This window comes from Homo sapiens, chromosome 2, assembly GCF_000001405.40.
Source record: "Homo sapiens chromosome 2, GRCh38.p14 Primary Assembly".
NCBI classification, from domain to species: Eukaryota; Metazoa; Chordata; class Mammalia; order Primates; family Hominidae; genus Homo; species Homo sapiens.
The window spans coordinates 239941331-239962350 of record NC_000002.12 but is presented as its reverse complement, the minus strand read 5'-3'; the positions used below and the strand labels follow the sequence as shown (position 1 = coordinate 239962350).

Genomic DNA, 21020 nt, shown 5'->3' with positions numbered 1-21020 from the left:
CATGGCTGTGTGGATGGCTGTGAATGCCTGCTGCTGATTAGGATAAAGGAAAAGCTGATTCTTTTAAAAATGGTTTTAGTACCTGTTCTTAAGGGCAGAATTTGGAAGGGGTGTGTGTGTGTGTGTGTGTGTGTGTGTGTACACAAATTGACTGTGTGCCCATGCTGATTTGAAAATATGAAAAAACTCATCATTTTCCCACCTGCCATCGCTGGGCGACACACACCGTGCTGAGCGCTTTCTCCTGGCTCCGCAACGAGGTGGTCCTGCGGAGCAACACTCCTCTTTCCGTCTCAGCCAGCCCTGTGCTGGCCGCCTACCCTCATGAACAGGCGTCTTTGTGCTGGCAGGGGCTCTTGTTGCCCCCCAGATCTCCCTGTGCCCTGTGAGGTTGGCCTCTGTGGACCGCCACCTGAGCCCCTGATCTCTCCCAGATGGTGGGAGAAGTGGGGCCTGTAACATCCTTTCTGCAGCTCCATCACTGCCAAGCTCAGCCCCCCACTGGCCTCTCTGGCAGCATCCGCTCCTCCTGGGCTCTGTCGTCCTGTCGCTCCTGGATGTTCAGTGGCTCCCGCTAGGGTCAGTCCTGCAGTGCTTCCCCCTCCTTTGCTGGTTTTCCTGAACCCTGCCCATGTCTACTTAAAAGGCCTGGATGAAACTCACTTTCCTACTCCGCCAAGGGCCCCTTACAGCCAGCGGCCCGGCCTCTGCAGGCCCTCTTCAGAGGGAATTTCACGCGGGGCTTTTTCAGAGAGAACTCGGTGTTTCAGTTGGTGAACTGTGGTTCCTGGGTCCCAGCCCCACCCCTGTGTCTGCGTGGCTGTCCCTGCTCAGGGCCTCCCCTAAGTGCCACCCATTGCTCTCTGTCCCCCTCCTGTGGCTCTTGTCACCCTCCTGACATTAATGAGAACACTCAGTAGTTCGTTTCCATTTGTGGCTCCCAGCCCTAGGACAGAAGCTTCTGGCAGGCAGGGCTGGGTTGTGGTTTGTGTACCTGTGGCATCCTTGCACTCACAGGAGACACCTGCCACAGATCATGTGCTCACCAGCATTGCTGAAGGAACTCATGAAGTACAGGCATCTGCCGGGTAGACATTGAACTATGAGCTGGGGAAACATTCATTCACGTTAAACAGAATGCACCAATGCCTTTTTCCCCCACAGCTGCCGGGCCGCAAGTACAGCCCTGGGTACAACACCGAGGTGGGAGACAAGTGGATCTGGCTGAAGTGAACGGGCCGCCTTCTGCTCCAGCTGCATCACAGTGATGGCCAAGCTGCATCAGCCGCACTCTCCTGGACGCCATATAGCTTTAAGATCGGGGGAGGGTAAATAATGCAAAAATTGCACAGTGGAAGAAGGGGTCTCACAAAAAGCAATCCATCCTGTAGTATAGGTAATGGAGTTGGGGGAAGCAGCTTCCATTCTGGATGTTTGGAACCCTTTAGCTTTGTTTTGGAATGGCCCACCATTCTCACTGGAAAACAGTGGTCTGCTGTGAAAGGCCAGCTCTCGGCAGCCCCTGTGGTTTCAGCGCTGCCGCTCTGTGTCATTCAGGTTGTGCACATTGTTTTTCTTCTGACTTCCAGAAATAAAAGTGTTTCCATGGGAATTTCCCCATCGTACGTCTATGTGCGTGCGGGCACGTCGAAACTGCACACGTGCACACACGCTGCTCTGGGCCCTGTTTGGTGTGGTGTGGTTTAATTGAGGCTTACATTATGCTGAAGAGTTTTTCTAAAGGCCTACTGTATTTATTTTAGTAATGTGCTACATTAGAGTAGAAAAAATAAGAACGTGAAGAAGAAATAGCAAAAGGAGAAAATTACCACAGATTTACAGAACAATATGTTTTAAGAGAGACGTTGAGAAAGATTCACGTGGCCGTCCTCAGCGTCTCAAACTCCTTTGAAGGGAGATTTGAGCTTAGGCTGTTGATGACATAAGATGCAAAAGCAAAATAATATACTCTCTTTATTACCCAGAAAATCAAGTTGCCAGTCAAAACTGAGAAATGAGAAAGAAAATCAGATTTCTTTATTCATCTCTGTTGAAGCCTAGAAAACCAAAACAAGCTGGTTGTGGTTCAGCATCATGGTTTAGGAATCAAGCTGTCAGTTGTGAGTCCTACTGAACTGTGGGTTTTCCACTGTAAAGCTCCACTGTGTCCATTAGGAATCAGGCTGCCAGTTGTGAGTCCTACTGAACTGTGGGTTTTCCACTGTAAAGCTCCACTGTGTCCAATATGGTAGCTCCTAGCCACATGTGGGTATTGAAATTTAAATGAGCTAAAATGTAATAGAGTTTAAAATTGGGTTCCTTGGTTGCACTGGCCATAGTTCAGGCACTCCACAGCCGCCTGTGGGCAGTAGTTCCAGTGCTGGTGCAGAGGACGATGCTCTGCTCCCCGCGGAAGCTCTACCAGGCCTCGCTGCTGCGGAGCATGCGAAGAAGATGCACACTCCTTCCCTCCTTGCGTCCGCCTGCCTTTTTCCCTCTCCCCTTCCTTCCCTCCTTCTTTCCTCCTCCTTCCCTCCCTTCCTTTCTTCCTTCCATCTGTCCTTGTTTTCCTCCCTTCCCTTCCTCCCTGCCTCTTTCCTTCCCTCCTTCTCTTCCTTCCTTCCGTCTGTCCTTGTTTTCCTCCCTGCCTCTTTCCTTCCCTCCTTCTCTTCCTTCCTTCCTTCCGTCTGTCCTTGTTTTCCTCCCTTCCCTTCCTCCCTGCCTCCTTCCTTGTTTTAAGAATTTGAAAATAAAGTTTCCCAGGAGTTTTGAATTGGAGTCGAGATTTAAGTGGCTGAAGTTTTGCATTTCACTAGGAAACCAACAGCTTTAATCATGAAATGAAAGCACAGCTGGGCATTGGGCCAGTCACAGAGTGTCTTTTGCTCTGAGCACTTCACAAACCCATTGTGGAGGGGAGGAAAGAAAAAGAAAGCCATCTTTAATTATCTTAGCTGTTCCTAATGTCTTTGGCTGCAAAGAGCTAGCTGTTTCCTTCAACCTTGGTGGTTGCACGGGTAGTGTCCTCAGCAGTGAGAGGGCAGGTCTGCCCTGTGGTCAGGATTGCCCTTGTGAGGGGCAGAGCTCTCCAACCATGCAGGGCTCCGTGTCGGCATGGTGTGGACTCGGGTGCTCTGATCATCCCCTGTGTTTGCGTCTGACCCTGTGTGGTTGCATTCCCTTGATGGAGTGGGAAGTATGTAATTTGTAGTGCTGAGGACATTCGTCTGTTTGATTTTCTGGTGTTTTCAATGACATGCATGTTCAGCAGAGAAAGATGAATAAACACTGTCCAATTCTTCTCTCCACATAGAAGCCTCAAGAAGAGGTGAGGAGATGCCCCGATTTCCTTATTTCAGAGCAGTACATGCGTTCGTCTCACGAAAGCTCTTACAACTAAAACAACAGCACCAACAAACCAGGATCAAAATAATCGTGCATTTTCCAGGATTCCATGTTGGACTTCTCAGTGCTTTGGAGATCAGGAAATAATCATGCTGTTGCAGCAGTATGGTTTTGTGTCTGGATTTTATTCATACAGGCATGTGTTTACAGGCATGAGAATTCTGTATTGAAAAGAAAGTCCTTGTTTTTTTCTAACGTATCTTTCTGTTCCATCAACTGTTAAAACCAAATTGTTAAGAACATTGAGCTTCTTAGGAGAGATTACATGCAGCTACTTAGGACCACCTCAGCAAAATGGAGTTGCCTGGGTAGATAGCAGCAGCAGCTCACCAGCCCCACGCTGCCAGGCTGCTGGCTGCTGTCCACCAGGCAGCTGTGGAACCTCCATGTTCTGCCTAGGTGTTGTGGCAAGAACAGCAGGGAAACAGGCGGCCGCCTCCAGGCCACAGGTGGACCCAGGGACCTTCAGTTACGCCGCTTCAATTGAATTCGTGGTGGTTTCTCTGCTACAGCAGAAGTGGAAGAAGCTCTTGTCTTGTTTGGCATTTGTCCCATTTTTTGGCTAATAATTGGCTTTGAATTTCTCTGTGCCCTGCTTACCAATTATAGCTTTCTGGATTGGCTGTTCTTAGCAGTGCAAATGTCAATGCAAAGAAGCAAGCAGGCGGCTACTTTCTGGGAAGAAGCATAGTCCGTGCTCACACTGGATATAAATCTGCAAGATTTGGGGGTTTGGCAAAATAGGGGTGGAGGGAAAGCTGCCATGGCTGTCAGAAATTGGGGCTTTTTGAAGAAAAGCTTGTGTAGGCATCAGCCACTGGCTGGCCAGAATTCCATGAATGGAAGCAGGTGCCCGAGTGATCTGGGGCTTTACATGTGGATATAAATAGAAGCCGGGAGCCTGAGGCTTTGCTTTAGGAAAATCATGAGCCAGAAAACAGAGGAGGTGATTGTCAGTAGTCACCTCACGCCGCTAGTGTTTTCTAATACTCTCTCGAATTGTCAAAGCAAAGGACCTTATAACAGCAACACGTGTGTGACTCGAAGCAGCGAGCTTCCCTTGGGAAAAGGAGCCTCTTCTCAGCAGAGGGTCCCAGCCTTTCTGTCCTTCCCCATCGGAATGCCAGGCTCTGTGAGTTTGGATGTTGGACATTGCCACCTGAATTCCAGGAGGCCGGGGAGCTCCAGTGATGGACTTGTCCCCAAAAGAGTGGTGCTGTTCTCAGAGCCATAAATGTTCCACTGAAAGTGTCTGTCCCCTGGCTCACGCTGGCTGCGCTTGCTTGAAGGAGGCTGATTTAAGGGTTCTAATAGGAAGACAAATGAAACTGTCAAATTTTATCTTTAAGCATGTGAGTAAGTTTGCTCATTCGCTTTTACTATTGATGTATAGTTTTAAAATTCTTAATTTAAAAATTATTTTAATAGTAAATTTTTCACAAGTGAACACTTTTTATCTTTAAATTAAAATTCTGAAGCTCCCTAGTTAGTTAGATCCAATTGCTGGTTACATTTTGGGAAGCTCTCATTTTAGTGCTATGTAGTTTCATTGAATAAACATGTTTTTAATGAGACTATACCTGGTGATTATATTAAAAATCCCAGCTTTTAATTTGTAAAAAGCTGTTTCCTCTGGCATGTTACGCGTGGTCATGTGGGTTTTCTTACAGTGAACGTTGATGGGGCCTCCTGCATCCCGGGCAGCATCTCAGCGCTGGACACGTGGCAGTGAGAGCAGAAATGCTAGCAGTGGCTGAGGGGCGAGGCCCAGGTGGAAGCCCCTGATGCAGGGTTGTGCATGTGCAGAATCTGAAAGCTGTGAGACTTGGCGAGCCCGCAGTGGAGGGGGGTGTCTGAGCCGCAAGGAGGGTCTGGCCTGAGCTGCAGGGCACCCCCCAGAGCCCACTGTAGGTGTTGGAGGGCTGAGGAGAGTGCAGAGGGCCTGGGAGGCGAGGGAAGGAGTGAGGCGGCCAGGCTGGGTCAGGTGCTCCACACGCGTCAGGGAGAGGAGGACCTGCAGTGACTGTCGACATGACTTTGGCAAGCTCTGTGTCCGCAGAGCTGGAGCTGAGCTGGCTGGGGCAGGAGTCACAGTGTGGGAATTAAGGAAAAAACAAGCAGGTAGGGTAGAGAGCCGGACTACCATCAAAGCATGAGTTTTCTGCTGCCCGGCTCCGCCGTGACGCCACTCCTCCCACCAGAACGAGCGCGTTTGTCTCCACACTCTCCCCTGCTTGTCATTGAGCTTTGTTCGGTTTAGGAAGCACGAACAGAAAGGTGGCTGTGACAGGCAGTGGGCTGGAAAGTGCATTTCCACTGGTCTGCCCTCTCCTGGGACAAGGTGAGCTTGGTGCTTAGCACTGGGCCGTCCCGACTCCAGGAGCAACGCCAGTCCTCCAAGCACGGGAGGCTTTTCCTCCTCTCAGTATTGCAGCAGGCAGCGCACAGCCCTTCTGTCCAAATCTGGGAACCTGAAAGACCTTCGGAATCTTGCTGTTTTAGACGTTGTAAGAGGAGCGGGTAGGACCCCACGTGCTCAGGCCCCACGCTTTGGATCTACCCCCTCTGCAGCCAGAGGGACAAGCAGCTGCTGTGCTGGTCATGGCCTCATCCCGTGTGTGACGATGGCCACTCACGTCTTCTCATTCAACAGAAGTTATCACCGTGCGTCAGACTTTTATTTGGATTTTGTGCGTCTTGCATGTATGGTGGGGATGACCGGCCCCACCTCCAAGTGTAGGCGCTGGAGCCCCTGGGGACGCAGCGCTGCTTGTTCCTGACAGATGGGTTGCACCCGTGGGAGGGGTCCAGATGTGCTAGCTCTTGGGAGTCAGTGATGGGTGTACCGGGAATGGCCTGGCGTGCATTTCCATTCAGAAACTCCCAGTCCCTGCCTGGAACCTGGCTCCTTTTGCTGTTTTTTTCCCCCTTTCCTGTCCCTTTCCTGGGTGGCTGGTCCCTGCTGTCGCCCCTGCCTCCCTGGCTGCAGAGCTTTCCTCTGGAGGACTCGACACAGAGCCTGCGCCGTCTCTGACTCCGGGCTCTGCTGCCCTGCCCCACTTTGGTCTCTCAGGTTGGAGTTGAGGTTGCATCTGCTGAGAGCCGTGCCCACAGGTGAGGTAGTATCAGGGTCCTGAGCCAGAGTCCACTGTCCCCTGGCCGTGGGTTTGGAGCTGCCAGCCATCCTTCCCTGAGAACCCAGCCTATGACTCGGCTCCCCTTGGGCCTGCCCTATCTTTCCTTCCTGCCCTGGTCTGTCCTGCGGCCCCCTCAGTCCTCATGGCCAAGTCAGCCAACAGCAACCCACACACAGAGGCCACTTCTGGATGGGTGTCTGGCAAGGTGTGGGTCTGAATTCAGCCTTTTGCCTCGCGTGCCAACCCCCGTGTCCTGGGCTCTCCAAGAGCCACCTTAGGAAGATGGGGAGTGGGTCTGGACCACTGAGCAACTGGTCATTCTGCATCAGCTCCTGAAAGTCCCTTGTGGACCAGCTCCCTGATGAGGACAAGCTCTTAGCTCAGAACAACACAGAATCCAGCGCTGACCATAGGACGGCTGTCTAATGGTCCTTCTCTAGAAACCTCTCTGTGCCATTCTGAAAGTGGAAAATGCCGGCATTGGTCATGCGACCTTGCATAGCTGTCTATTTTCATGGTCTCTCCACCCACTCTGGCCCCTTCATGTTTTGTGGAGAGAATAGCAGACCTCGCCCCCCGCCCCAGTGTTAAGAGGTGACTTAGACACCCTCACCTTGAAGTTTTCACATATTTTCTATCCATAGTATTTGTATACTTCACACGAAGACTTATTAGTGGATAAATATAATAAACTCCTTCCTATTGAAATAAAATTTGAGAAGAACATGGTATGTGCCAGCCAAAGCCCAAATTCAAATGAACCCTTCTGTGAAGGGGAAGAATCAGTCTTGTTGAGAGAAAGTAATTTAGATGCAGAAGGAATCCCAGCTGCCTAGAAATCCCCGTTGCCAACAGCAGGCGAAAGGAACCACCCATGGGAGGGAATGTCGCAGGGCAGCGGCAGGTCGGGCGGCAGTGCAGCAGCCGTGAGAACGCAGGACTCACACTTCCGGGCTGTGTCGCCAACATTGGCAACCAGTCGTCACCTGCCAACCCACTTGGGGGAGCATGGATGGTATTGGTCGGGCTCTATCCAGCTGTTTGTTAGCAGTGAGTACAAAAAAATAAAAAAATGCTATTTTTTAGCTGGTCAGAAATGACTTGAAAGACCTCAGACTGTTGAGTTAACTTAAAACAGCCCCTCCTTTGCATCTAACAAAGTAATAAAATTGTGTGTGTTCATCCAATGGGTAAATATGCAGCCTCTGCTGTTTCAAGGAAAGTGAAAGGCTCAGCAGTATGTGTTATCTTGCCCTCCTTAAGGCATGCTTTTCCTCTGAATGTCCTTGGCTCAGAAAGCTGGTTGTCAGGGAGCTTCACTGGGGTCTCTGAGGGGACTTCTCCAGAGGAGCTGGTGAAGGAGCGCGTGAGGACACAGGAGAGCAGCATCTCTGGCTGGCACTCTGCCCAGCCGGGCAGGTTGAGCCCACTTTCACAACCCTGAGGCGGTCACAGCCCGACCGTCAGGGGGAACCCACTCTCACGGTCCTGGGGTGGTCACTCAGCTGGCCTGGCAGGTGGCACCCAGTCTCACAGCCCTGAGGCAGTCACAGCCTGACCGTCAGGGGGAACCCACTCTCACAGTCCTGGGGTGGTCACTCAGCTGGCCTGGCAGGTGGCACCCAGTCTCACAGCCCTGAGGCAGTCACAGCCTGACCGTCGGGGGAACCCACTCTCACAGTCCTGGGGTGGTCACTCAGCTGGCCTGGCAGGTGGCACCCAGTCTCACAGCCCTGAGGCAGTCACAGCCTGACCGTCAGGGGGAACCCACTCTCACAGTCCTGGGGTGGTCACTCAGCGGTCCCGGCAGGGGGAACCCACTTTCACAGCCCCGAGGCGGTCGGTCACTCAGCCTAGCCCAGCCCAGCAGGTGGAACCCACTCCCCACTGTCACAGCCCTGAGGCGGCGGGGGCGTCCTCCACCTCGCTCTTCCTGGAGAGACGCCAGTGTGTGGGTTTGGAAGCGGAGTCTATTTTAAGTTTGCAGTTCCTGAAGGAGCCTGTGTTGGCTGTGCTGTCTCCACATGGTCACAGCCTTGAAGCCTCCAGCCTTTTAAGGACAAGCCTCTGCCTGGCTGCCTGTGGTTGGGGCAAGCCGCTACTTACGTTCGCGGTGCCTGTTGCGTTTTCCCACCTAAGAGGGCACAGGAGGTGGTGGAAGGGGAGTGGAACTAAGGTGGGGGACTTGAGAGCAAACTGTGAGTGTCCAGAGCTGTAGGAGGTTCGGAGAAGACACCGAGTGCTCCTCCTGCAGGGTGAGAAACCCTCCTGTTTCTGATTGCCTCATGCACCACCATGCTCAGGTCACCCGGCAGGCACCCCTCCCTGGGGCTGAGCCCAGATCAACGCGGAGCAGTTTCCTAGGGCTGCGGTAAGCAGCTGCCTTGCACTTTGCGGCTAAAGCAGCACAGATCTATTATCCTAAGTTCTGGAGGCCAGGAGGCCTCCAATCAAGGTGTCAGCAGGGCTGGTCCCTCCTGCAGGCTCCTGGCCTTCCCAGCTTTCCTGGTTTCCTGGCCTTCCCAGCTTCTAGAGGCTGCCTGCGTATATGGTCTTGTGACCCCTCCTCTAGTCACCTCTCCTCTCTGCTGGCCCCTGCTGCCTCCCTTGTGCAAGAACCCCTGTGATGACATTGGGCCACTCAGTCCAGGAAACCCCCCATCAAGATCTTCAACCCCATTTGCTCAGCCCCTTTGCCACCCGAGGTCCCATGTCCCAGGAGCTGGGGATCAGGATGCGGCTGTCCTTGGGGCCCTGTTCTGTGCACCACAGTCCCCACCTTGGGCCGACAAGAAGGCCCTGTGGAGACTGGCAGCCACAGGCCCTGCTCTGGGTGGCCCTTCAGCTTCTTCTTACCTCCCACGTGGCTGGAGAGGAGGGTCTCACCCACCACAGAGATGGGCCTTCTGCCTCAGAGAAGGCGTGGAGCAGCGGGGCTGGCGTCGGCAGCTGTGCCTTGCGTTTTCTGGCAGCTGTGAGCAGCCCTGCCTTGCCAGCTTGGTCAGCAGAGCCTCGCGTCTGCCGTGGGCTGGCTGCACCCCTCCGGGGCCCTGGCCCAGGCCCAGGCCCATCCCTGTCCCCATGTGGTGCACACCGTGGGGAGAGGTGGACATAGGCTGTCCCATGTGTGGTGACAGGTGGTCTCCATAGCCATGTCTGGCACAGGGTTGCCCATCCAGGGGAGGGAGGCCTCTGGGAGGAAGAGAGGGGAGGCTGCTTTGTCCATCGTGGAAGTTCAAAAAACCCAGAAAAACCCCTACAGGGGTACCTGGAAGCTGTTGGTGCTCAGAAGCTCTTCCCACCTACAGATCTTGTGATGGGGCCTGCAGGTGAGTGCCCACCGGCTGCCAAGGAAAGCCTCAAGCCGCACAGTTGGGGCCCTGCCGGCCAGTGGGGGTGGGTTTGCTGCGGGCTGCACAGTGCTGGCCTCCTGAACTCTTCACCTTCCACAGACAACAGCATCCTCATCTCTGCCCAGGAGGTCTGCTCCTTTCTCCTGGGCCCCCCTCCCCACTCTGCCTTCAGAGCCCTTTGTGCTTTGGCCCCCACCCTGCCAGCCCCCTCCCTGCGCCCCCCTCCTCACCACCCAGTCCTTCATGCAGCCTTTCCTCTCCCTGGGCTTGCAGGTCTGCCCCACCAAGCCCCCATTCCAGGACGCAGCCAGGCTGTCTGCCCTCTGCGAGCAGGTGTGGCACATGTGTTGCTGGTTCATCCCGTGGGCTCACAGGCGGCTCCTGTGCAGACCTCTAGTGGGTGTGGGACTTCAGGCAGCAGCCTTTGGCCCCTGCCGGCCCACACCCCAGGACCCATGCCACAGCACCTACCGAGGGAAAGAGACCAAAGGGCATGCACCATCTCAGGTCTCGAGAGGGACAGAGCCAGGCAGGAGCCTGGGCAGGCGTCAGCAGGGCCCTCGTGTTCCTGGGTCCCACTGTCCTTCCCGCTGCCCAGGGCATGGCCAGGCCGGAGGCCTCGGTGTGCCGTTGGGACCAGGCCTGGGAACCCCTCTGGCTTGTTTCCCCTTTTTAGTTACACAAATACTTTATGATCACTTCTGAAAATTTAGGAATTTTAGGAATGAACAAGGAAGATAGCTTTAGAGTTATATACATTTTCTTTTACTTGCCATTAGAGTCTTCCTAGACCCTGTTTTTTAAAGATGCCTGACTCTCCACGCCCGGCTGTGACCAAGCCTGCCGCCCCTCCATCATAGCTGCTTCTCAGTGTCCGGCACATCCTGTACTGGGTGCTGAGGGGACCCAGGGAGGGTGTGGCGAGAGGAGGACCCTGACCAGGCATCCCTGGGACACGGCTGCCCAGCACGGGCATTTTTTCTTTTATGGAGGCTCAGAAGTGAGGCCTGAGAACACAAGAGAAACGGCCTCGTTAGACCCTGGCCCCACTTTCTTCCCAATCTCAACCACCTTCGACGACTCAGTCATCAATGTCTGCGTCTCTCCCCCTGCTGTCCTCTGTAACCCACGGGTGGCTGACGCAGCCATTGTCCCTGTCTCCAGGGCAGCAGCACAGGAGCGTGTGGCCCTCCCGAGGCCCCTCCCGCACGCCCTGTGGGCACCCCGGGTCCCATCGCTGCAGGGTTCCCTGTCTCAATAGTAGCCTCTCCTTCTGATGTCTTGTGGTCAGATGTTTGCTGGAAAGGGCCCCAGAGCCCCAGTGAAAATCCAGACTCAGAGATGAGACTGAAACGGGAAGTGTCAGCATTGTTTTAGGGTTTTTCACTTCAAAAGCCAATAATCCTCTGAAGCAGGGCCCTTCTGCACTCCTTCCAGGCTCAGCAACTACCTGACAAAGGAACGAGGGGCTGAAGCGGAACGTACTGGAAGCCCTGGCCAGCAGGTGGCCAGTGGGACGCTGACTTGAAACCTCTTTGAAGCAGTCATGGGAGCAGTGGGAACAATTGCCCCGTAATTGTTGGACAGTGTCACACAACTAGACAGGCACCTACTTGAATCACAGAATGGAGCTGTGTGGTGTTTCTGTGACACTGGGATGAAGCTGCAGGCACGAGCAGGGGTCTGCACAGCCGACCACGGGGACAGACAGGCGTGCGGCTGCCACTCACCTGCACGTGGTGGCCATGTGACATGCACAGGCCCTTACACCGCCCCAAGCTCCTATCCGTACCAGTGTTGGAAGAAGCCGCTCAATCAGCAGTTGGTTTGCTTTGATTTTACCTTAAAATCCTGACGCTATCCTGGTCATAATGAGCTCTCATCCGTGTGTGGGGTCCTTACACCGAGGACACCAGGTCTAAACACAAGTGGGAAAGGTCAATGTTTACATCTACACTTCAGATGCCTAAAAACAGAGTCTTCGGGGAGCAAGGAGGAACCGTTCCTCAGATTTCCAAAGGTCATGCCCCGAGGGGGCAGCTTGGTGGACTGGAGCCGTCTGAAAAAGAAGGTGGTGGGTCGGGAGCCCTGAGCCTCCTGCTTGGGCCAAGGCATGCCCACAGGAGACCTCTTGCCCGCTCAAGGACTCGGGGGCCTGAGGGATCCCTGAGGAAGCTGTGAGTGGTGGGCAGCCGTCTGGCTGTAGGAGATGCATCATCTCAGCTTCTTTATAACAGGGCCAGCCTGTACTGCTGAGGGTGGACCAAAGCCACACAGCATGGGGCGGAGGGGCTATAAGGACTGGAAACCTTTCTAAATCTCTGCCACCACTTCGTGAGCCCACTCTGAGGTGTGCCCCCTCCCTAGATTCTCACAGCAAGCTTGGCTGCAGGTGGGGACGGCCTGATTTTTCTCCCATTATGTACGTAAGAAAATAGGCTCTAGGGTGGGACCTCCCCAGTCTCCCAGATGGAATGTGGTGAGTCCAGGTTCAGGCTCAGTCAGGGCTCTCCTGAGACCAGGACCCACAGGATGAACAGATATGGAGACAGTTACAAGGATTCTGGAGGCTCAGAAGCCCCAAGATCTGCTGTCTGCAAGCTGGAGACCCAGGAGAGCCAGTGGTGCAAGTTCCAGTCCAAGGGAAGACCAATGTCCCACCTCAACAGGCCAGTGTCAGGTATGGTGGCTCGCGCCTGTAATCCGAGTGCTTTGGGAGGCTGAGGTGGGAGGATCGCTTGAGGCTGAGTTGGAGACCAGCCCGGGCAACATAGATGAGGCCTTGTCTCTTCAAAAAGTAAAAGTGTGGTGGCACGCGCCTGTTGTCCCAGCTATGTGGGAGGCTGAGGTGGGAGGATTGCTTGAGCCCAGGAGTTTGCACTCCAGCCTGAGCAACAGAGAAGACCTTGTCTCTAAAAAACAAACAAACAAAAGCAAAAAACAAAAAACAGGCAGAGAGTGGGAATTCTTTCTTCCACCACCTTTCTGTTCTTTCCAGACCCCCAGTGGACTGGAGGATGCCTGCCCACGCTGGGGAGTGCCGCCTGCCTTCCCGAATCCACCAGGTCACATGCTGATCTCATCCCCCACAGATACACCCCAAAAATCTTGTTTGACCAAATACCTGGGCAGCTGTAGTCCAGTCGGGTTGGATGTCTAAAGCTGATCTGTACAATTGCTAACTCGCTTCGCCCTCCGAGCCGTGCATCTCACTCCTCAGACACAAATGCTGGTGCTCATTCCTGCCCCAAGCTCCTATCCGTATCAGTGTTGGAAGAAGTCGCTCAATCAGCAGTTGGTTTGCTTTGATTTTACCTTAAAATCCCGACACTATCCTGGTCATAATGAGCTCTCATACGTCCGTCCCAAAGAGGGACATGTGTCCATTGCATTCGTGGGGTTAAAGCAATGAGAAAGCCTGCAAGGCAGGAAGCTTGGGGTTGGGGGCTCCAGGGGAGCAAGGAAGGGTTGGGGGCTCCAGGGGCAGAAGGGGGTGCCCTGTGACTTCTGAGACACTGCATTTGAAGTAGAGAGCCTTCTCTTCTGGACTCCTGCACGCTTTATCTTTGTGTGAACTGTTCCCTGCAAAATAAATACACAGGCCTCTGCTGGCTCCTGCCTAGGCCAGGATGGCTCGAGGCTTGGTGAAGTCCCCAAGGAGGGAGGGCCACCTCGGCTGGCTCTAGTTTTTTCTGTCCCAGACACTGGAGGCCTGGATTTGTGGAAGATGAAGGGACATACTGAGTTGCGTCGTCAGGCTGGCATCTGAGCCACCTTTGCAATCCCTAGTTTGTCCTTGTATTTGGAACGCTGGAGGCTCGAGTCAGGATCCGGGTCCCACCGACGTGTATTTGTGCTTTCAAGATGGCTGGGGCTTTTAGCCTTGGCAGCTTTGCTCGGGCAGGCCTGCTGCTTTTTACATTGGGTTTTCCAGCGACTCCACTTACAGCTGCAAAATGGACAGTGGGCTGTAGACCCTGAACAACGTCAAGTGAGTGCATGTTTTGAACGCCTGTTACTTTTCCGTCGCCACTCATGGAGCGGAGGCTGTGGAGATGTCGGTTACTTTCTGTCCCCTGGGGGCTCAGGACCCAGCTGCAGAGCAGCCTTGAATGAGACCACAGGGAGCCTCTGAACAGGGCCTTGAGGGGCCAAAGGGAGAAGAGCAGCCTGGAGGCCATTGTCCGGAGCACAGCCTGGCTTCGTCTCTGGAATGCGTGGCTGAGGCTGGGAAGAGGGACGGACGTGTGGGCAGGGCCCAGGAGGTTCTAGCTCTTAAGTGTTGGTGGAAATGAGCTGCTATTTCCCTAAGAATTGTACACAATCCTGAACCTTGCTGCCGTTAACTGAACCTCTGGACTTTTGCTCAAACAGCTGTAGTGACGACAGAGCTTGTCCCCCGACCTCACCTCCTCCACCTCACCACCAGAGGATGTAAATTGGCTAACTTGGCCTCGGAAGACCAGCTTGAAGGGCAGGGCCACCTATGCACATGTGACCTCCATGTTCACCCAGTGCCCACGCTCAAGAAGGGCCCACACTTGATTTAATGTTCAGCTGTGGCCGTCCTGAAAGTCTGAACAAGTTTTGGACCAGAGCCTCCCGTTTTCATCTTGCACTGGGGGCCACAGGTTATGTCGCTGCCGTGGGCGTGTTGAGGCACCACCCCGTGCTTCCTGGAGCCCTCATCCCTCTTGCCATCTGGCAACAAGAGCTGGGCTGGCCTGTTGCATAGTCTTTGAGGCCTTCAGTGGATGGAGGAGCTCACGGCAGCAGGAAGGCCGGTGTGTGAGAGGAGCCCCGGGAGGACCCTCACAGGACCCTGGGCCTGGAGGCCTGGGGCTCGGCGGGGAGGGCGGGGCTTGCTCTGGGCCTCAGAGAGTCAGGAGCCGTCCCTGTCTGTGTCTGGTGCGCAGAGAGGGCGGGGCTTACTGGGCCCTGGTGAGGCAGGGACTGTCCCTGTCTGTATCTGGTAGCAGCTGCCTCCCGGTCTTTGTCCAGCTTCTTCCTTAGGCCGAGCATTTGGCTGTGGCTGCAGGAAGCCCAGCGGGGCGTGCAGAAGGCAGGCACACAGGACAGTCACTGAGCCATTTTCCTCTGTGGGCCTCAGGAGCTCTGTCCCTGGGGGCTCTGGGAGTTGGTGTGGGATGTAGGCCTTAGGCACCTGCATTGGTATAGGGCTGTCCTGGTATGACTTCTTGGTATTCCCAGGCTCGGATGCCTGCTGCCAGATAATGTCCAGGGCCTTGGTCTAAGCAGTGTGAGCAGGCGGGACGGCCCCAGATGGCCTGGCCTAGGCCTCCAGGGATTCTGTACCCATGAGGAAGGGGCTGCACTGCAGCCTGGATCCCAGCTCCTTACCCAGGATCCCACCCACACTACCTGCTGAGCACCGGGCTTCAGGACTGAGGAGTCCCATGGGAGGCACAGCACCCACCACCATGGGCTGGGCATCCGTCTCCTGGACACTGCCCTGGCACTTCACGCAGGGTTCCCTCCTTCCGCCAACCCTGTGAGGCCGTGGCCTTATCCTCATTTCACCAAAGGCGGCCTGAGGTTCAGAGAAGTTAGGCAGGACATCAAAGACACACAGCAGGCATTTCCAGCATGGGGCCCTCTGGCCCCAGAGCTTGTGCTTGTAGCCTTCTCTCTGCCTGCAGGAGCCTCACTCTGACTTTCCCCAAAATCTGACCAAAGGGAGTGAGTGCATTTAGCACACCTGGGCACACATCCATGTCAGGCGTGCCTGACAAAACCTCGGTCCTGCCTCCTTCAGGGAGGTCCTGCACCAGCGTCAGGAGCCGTTGAACTCAAAGCTTTAATGTGGACAACAAAGGGATTCATCGAGATGAGCTGGAGCTGGGCTGGAGAAGGTGTAGCGTCCGTGAGTGTTGACCTGGATACCTGAACGGTGTGGGGGTGTTTGTGATTGCAGTGAGCCCTTGGGCTTGAGACTCACTCCGTGGCTCTGAGCGCAGTGCCTGCGGGGAGGGCCCCGGAGGCATCACTGAGGGGTTTGCAGGCCCAGCACCTCATACAGAGCATGCGGGTTAACGAGCTAATTCCACAGAGGGTGGCAAGGGACAACGTCTTCCCCTAGTAACACACTACCCTTCGGAAACCCTCCCAGCTCATCACTGCACCCATCTCCCCGTCTGCTGGGGCTGGGGCCGGAGCTGTGGTATGGAGTGCAGGGCTCATGACCACCTGGGATTTGAGTGGCTTGAGTGGCCAGGTGCCACCTAGGAGGGTGACGGAGCCCCAGCTGGGGCTGAGGAGGAGCAAGTGGGAGGAGCGTGCAGCCATCCTTCCTCGACTTCGAGAAGTCACTGGAGCAGGGGCCGAACACACACAGCTGCCAAGGTGTGGCCCCTCTCTCTGGAAACCTGCAAGGGACACGTCTGCCCTGGAAGCCTGGGCTCCCTGTTCAGAACGGAATCCCTGGGGCCCTCCTCTCCTGTCCTGGTCTGGGGGTGCAGCTCATTATGTGAGGCTCTGGGCTGCTTCCTGTCCGCAAGCGGATCCCATTCTCAGCGCAGTGTCTTCCACCCTCCTGCTCCAGGCACCTGGGTTGCACACAGGGTGCTTCTGGCTTGCAGTCCCGGAGCCCTGTGGGCCCTTGAAGCCTGGGGACGGCCTTCAGGGGGGTCTGGAGTGGTCCACTCTGCACGTTTGGCCGTGATGCCTGGTTGAGCTGCAGCACTTCTCTTGGTGTGCACATTCATTGTGTGTTTAAAAAATACAAAGTAACTGGGTGGAAGCTCTGGAGATGCTTCTGCTCTGACATGCTGGTTTTCATCCCAGGGCCAATCGATCCATTCCGTGAGAAAACTGTTCATGAAGGACCAGTGTGTGGCCAAGTCCTCCCTGGAGGGAGCCTCAGCCCCCAGGATCCTCCCAGCCTGGCCATACGGGGTAGACTGCAGCCCTGACCGGCTCGGTGGGGCGCAGGGAGCCTCGCGGTGCAGCCTGCGTTCCGGTTGGGGTGTCCGCTCTTCCCCCGAGGGGCCTCCCAGCGTCTTTGAAAGGAGCTGGAGCGACGCTCAGAGGTGAGGAGCTTGGTCTGGGTAGCAAGGAGGCTCTGATTTCCTGTCTCCACTCAGCAGCAGCGTGACTTTGGGCAAATTGCTGATCTGTGAGCTCGTGTCTTCCTGGCTGCAAAGCAGGAGGAATGATGGCGCTGCCGCTGCGGTTGTGCAAATGAAGGAGCCCAGCGTCTGCAGAGCGGCCTGCTCAACGCCTGCCGGTGACCTGAGAAGTGGCTTGTCATTTCCTCCCCAGTCAGGCCCTCCTGCGGGAGGGGTGCCGGGGCTCTGATGGCTGTACACGTGCCTGGGTTTCTGTAGAGGATAGAGAGAGGAGAGGCAGGGAGGCTTGCCTGGGAGTCTGCTACCAAAACCATGGAATTCTGTCTCGGGGAGGCACCTTGCAATAAAGAAGCAGCCTCCACAGGCCCCCTGGGAAGTCACCCCCATGGCTGTGTCTGGAGATGAGCTCTGGGCGCGGGGTGCAGCCTGGGAGGGCCAGTGTGCCCCCCACCTAGGGTGGTCCTGCAGCCTTTGCCTTCTATTGCGGATGGTGGCGGGTTGGCCGAGCTTTGGGGACCAGTTTCCTCCAAAGTTACTATGGCCCCAAGGCTCTGGGGACAGGGGCAGGTGGCTCTGGGCGTGGACAGAGCTTGCTCCTTGAGCTGGAAACCCTGGCTAACGAGCGAGCAGAGGCCCTGGGACCACCAGGGGCTGTCGAGCTGCACTCTCCAGGCTGCCAGAGGCTTCCATTAGGCACACTGGTGTTTGATTTTGTTTCCTTGGAAGACCTGGAGTTTTTGTCGGTTCTGAGTCATTTTTCTTGATCCGCGCTGCCAGTTCCATGAAGAAAATCACTTTCAAACAGATGTGGAGGAAAGTGCACCTCCTCACTTGTCCAGACCCGGCCTGAATTCACATGGAAAGGTAATCATTTCCCGCCATGAGCTCACTGAGAGTCTGACAGCACTGTGAGGGGAGGTGGCCAGCCAGGCACCCAGCCTGAGCCGTGACCAGAGGTCCGAGCCAGAGATGCAGCCTTGGGATCTCAGCCTGCGGCGCTGGCCCTGGGGCCACACTCAGCATGGGGGACGCCAGGCTGGAGCAGACGCCAGACCCAAACAGCCGCTCTGCCCCCGGGGACTTTGGCAAGGCTGCTGCCTACGTGAAATGATGGAAAGGTCTAGGCTGGCCCCAGGTCCTTTCTGGCATGGCCTCAGGATCTTGGCAGGAGGATAACAATGCCAGGAGGGGGTGGGCTGAGTCATGTGCCTCCTCTCAGGGGCCTGGCTGCAGTGGTCAGGGGCAGGGTGGCTCATTTTGCGGGCACCGGTGCCCTGCACCTGGAGGAGGACCAGCAACAGGACTAGCCAGGTGGCCGCAGGCCCTTAGGACACAGGGGAGGCCCAGGATTTATGGGAAGGAAGGAGCAGAGCACCTGAGTCTGGGGACATCTCGGGACAGGCACTGCCCCCAGCAGCCTCAGCTTCCCCCCATAAAAGGGACAGACGCTGCCCCATGCCTTTAGCTCCATCACTGTCCAGGGACAGGGACTAAACCCTAGACCCCTCATCCCCAAGGAGTCTTGGACTGCAGGTCCAGCTCTGCAGAGGGGCTGCAGGGAGCATCCAGGGCCCATACTCGTCTGCTCATCTCTCAGTCTCTGTGTTTATGGAACACCAGGGGATGCCAGTGCTGTGCCAGGAGGGGCGGTCGGTGCTGAGTGAGGCCTGCTTCCCAAATCAGGCACATTCTTATGAGACTAAGATTTGTCCCTGCTCATGGACATTAAAAAAATGTCAAAGACAGCAGGATTAAGCGGAATCACAGTGTCCTGCCCCCAGTCCCTAACAGAATAGAAAGGAAAAACTAGAAAAATAATCCCAGCAGAAAACAAACAAGGCCATACACTTTGAAAATTTGTAGCCAAAGACCAGGTGTAGTGGCTCACGCCTGTAATCCCAACACTTTGGGAGGCTGAGGCGGGAGGATCACTTGAGCCCAGGAAATTGGGGCTGCAGTGAGCTCTGATTGCGCCACTGCACTCCATCCAGCCTGTGTGGCACTGTGAGACCCCATCTCAAAAAAAAAGAAAGAAAAATTAGTAGCCAATAAAATAAGCAAAAGATTTCAGAGTAGAGCAGAAGGCAGATTCGTGTGGCTCTGACCTGCCACCAAGCCTGAGTCCCACTGGTACACAAGCGGAGCCCCAGGCCGCCTCTGTGCTTGGGATCTGGAGACAGGGAGTCTTGCAATGCCTCTGGCAGACATGGGAAGATAACTGTGAGTTGAAACTCTCCGTAAGAAGTGGAGGCTCCAGGGATGCGTTGGCCTGTGGGCATGGCCTGAGACCAGGACTGGATGCACCACTCTCCCTGTGATGAGGTGAAGCCAGCTCTGGTCTGGGCCATTTCACAGGATTCCAGAAGCAGGAGCAGAGCCTCAGCATTTGAACGAACCTTCTTCCACTTCGGCTGAGCTCCTCCTGCCACCACCATCCTTGCAGGCTTCCCGAAGGTGGCCTGAACACAAACTGCCTGGGCTTCCTGTGGCTAAGAGGGGAAGACGAGCCTTTGCCAGGTTTTGTGGAAAGAGTTAAAACCCCTCCAGTGCTGTGTTAAAACATATGAGGACCCAGTCAGAGCTGCTCGGGCTTGAAGAGAATGGAAAGGCAGGGAAGGGGAGGGCAAGTGACAGGCAAACGTCCCACAGAGAAACCCGTGACTCAGTGCTGGAGAAGGGACCACAGCATGCGCAAGATAAACATGCGGAAGGCAGAGGACGCACAGCTCGTGAACAGAAAAAAAAAATATTCCTGTGCTTTGCCTAAGAGAACAGTTTGATAAGAACATGAATTCAATAAAATAAATGTCAACAACGTATAAGACTAAGAAATGAAAATAAGATGTCAGACCTCAGGAAGCAAACAGAACCGAAACAGTGTCAGAACCAAACCAATACATTTCAAACAGCAACAAACGACATAGCAAGGCTGAAATTGCTATTGACAGAAATCCATCGTTCTCCAAGTGTGGCTCCTGGACCAGCGGCCCCAGCCTCCACCTGGGAGCTTGTCGGAAATGCAGGTGTCTAGGCTGCACCCAGGCCTGCTGGCTCAGGCGCCCTGGTGGGTGGGCCCCAGCAGCATCTGTGTTTAGCAAGGTGATTGCAGCGCACACTACCGCGTGAACACCGCTGCCCTAGAGGAAAGGCTGAAGACAGCCACAGTAAGTAAAGGTAAACGTGGTAGAGGGATGAAAACTGTTGTGAACTTTGTATATGTAAAACTAATTTATAGGAAGGTGGACAAAGGCAGTCCGGCAAAAGAATCACTGGTGTTCAGACCAAAGTGATTCCAAGTGAAATAGTTTGTGCACACATGGTGTGATCTTTCAATATGCAGAATCCATTTGTTTTTCTCATTTCAGAGGATTTTAAAATCTAAGGTCCATACTGTTTTGGTGCAGAAAATTCACTAGTTTTACTTTCATTTGCTTATGTTGAAAACTGATATTAAAATAAATTAAATGTAATTTAAAATAGCATTGATAGATCCCATTTCATGAAAGCATACCTGTGTTTCTGTTGATATACAGGCATAAAAATATCAGGATGTTGTTCACTGATGTAGATGGTTTTTCTGAAGAGAGGAATTTGGAATTTTTTTTCCTTTCTTCCTTGAACCTTTTTTTCTTTTTTTTTTTTTGAGACAGAGTCTTACTCTGTTGCCCAGGCTGGAGTGCAGTGGTGCGATCTTGGCTCCCTGCAAGCTCCGCCTCTCAGGTTCAATCATTTTCCCACCTCAGCCTCCTGAGAAGCTGGGATTACAAACGTGCGCCATCATGCCCAGCTAATTTTTGTATTTTTAGTAGAGATGGAGTTTTACCATATTGGCCAGTCTGGTCTCCAACTCCCGACCTCAGGTGATCTGCCCGCCTTGGCCTTCCAAAGTGCTGGGATTATAGGTGTGAGCCACCACGTCCTTGAACTTTGTCGTTTTGATGTCGAGGAAGGAACCTCTGACACCGAGGGTGGAACAGCCGCAGTTCTGTGCCCCCGGTGCATTCACATCATCGGGCGTGGGAAGTGTCTGTCCCTGT

General features: G+C 54.5%; 1 protein-coding gene and 1 non-coding gene across 7 annotated transcripts in view, besides 7 other annotated features; both read left to right on the top strand.

The window, feature by feature from the left end:
• NDUFA10 (NADH:ubiquinone oxidoreductase subunit A10) overlaps positions 1-21020 on the top strand; it is a 132901-nt gene that overhangs the window by 62992 nt on the left and 48889 nt on the right. For 5 of the 6 annotated variants that reach the window (NR_136157.2, NR_136156.2, NR_136155.2 and 2 more), the window contains one exon: positions 1165-4979. The exons of the other annotated variant lie outside the window; for it this stretch is intronic. Coding sequence is in view for 2 of the 5 variants with exons in the window: in NM_004544.4 (NP_004535.1) it covers positions 1165-1233 (69 nt within the window). In the remaining 3 variants the exon portion in view is untranslated. Of the gene's footprint in view, positions 1-1164; positions 4980-21020 lie in introns of those variants that run through there. 6 annotated transcript variants of the gene reach the window in all.
• Positions 4935-5855: an enhancer, noted in NCBI's record as "H3K4me1 hESC enhancer chr2:240895913-240896833 (GRCh37/hg19 assembly coordinates)". NCBI's record gives its function as "activates a minimal SCP1, AML or CMV promoter by ChIP-STARR-seq in primed H9 embryonic stem cells {active_cell/tissue: H9 hESC(primed)}" and the evidence as "EXISTENCE:reporter gene assay evidence [ECO:0000049][PMID:30033119]".
• Positions 5856-6776: an enhancer, noted in NCBI's record as "H3K4me1 hESC enhancer chr2:240894992-240895912 (GRCh37/hg19 assembly coordinates)". NCBI's record gives its function as "activates a minimal SCP1, AML or CMV promoter by ChIP-STARR-seq in primed H9 embryonic stem cells {active_cell/tissue: H9 hESC(primed)}" and the evidence as "EXISTENCE:reporter gene assay evidence [ECO:0000049][PMID:30033119]".
• Positions 10696-11195: an enhancer, noted in NCBI's record as "H3K4me1 hESC enhancer chr2:240890573-240891072 (GRCh37/hg19 assembly coordinates)". NCBI's record gives its function as "activates a minimal SCP1, AML or CMV promoter by ChIP-STARR-seq in naive H9 embryonic stem cells {active_cell/tissue: H9 hESC(naive)}" and the evidence as "EXISTENCE:reporter gene assay evidence [ECO:0000049][PMID:30033119]".
• Positions 15694-16629: an enhancer, noted in NCBI's record as "H3K4me1 hESC enhancer chr2:240885139-240886074 (GRCh37/hg19 assembly coordinates)". NCBI's record gives its function as "activates a minimal SCP1, AML or CMV promoter by ChIP-STARR-seq in naive and primed H9 embryonic stem cells {active_cell/tissue: H9 hESC(naive and primed)}" and the evidence as "EXISTENCE:reporter gene assay evidence [ECO:0000049][PMID:30033119]".
• Positions 16630-17566: an enhancer, noted in NCBI's record as "H3K4me1 hESC enhancer chr2:240884202-240885138 (GRCh37/hg19 assembly coordinates)". NCBI's record gives its function as "activates a minimal SCP1, AML or CMV promoter by ChIP-STARR-seq in primed H9 embryonic stem cells {active_cell/tissue: H9 hESC(primed)}" and the evidence as "EXISTENCE:reporter gene assay evidence [ECO:0000049][PMID:30033119]".
• Positions 16772-16881: an enhancer, noted in NCBI's record as "active region_17392". NCBI's record gives its function as "activates an Ori minimal core promoter by ATAC-STARR-seq in GM12878 lymphoblastoid cells {active_cell/tissue: GM12878}" and the evidence as "EXISTENCE:reporter gene assay evidence [ECO:0000049][PMID:35858748]".
• Positions 17012-17061: an enhancer, noted in NCBI's record as "active region_17391". NCBI's record gives its function as "activates an Ori minimal core promoter by ATAC-STARR-seq in GM12878 lymphoblastoid cells {active_cell/tissue: GM12878}" and the evidence as "EXISTENCE:reporter gene assay evidence [ECO:0000049][PMID:35858748]".
• Positions 19257-19336, top strand: MIR4786 (microRNA 4786). Its single transcript, NR_039949.1, has one exon. It is a non-coding gene; the product is annotated as a microRNA 4786 (primary transcript).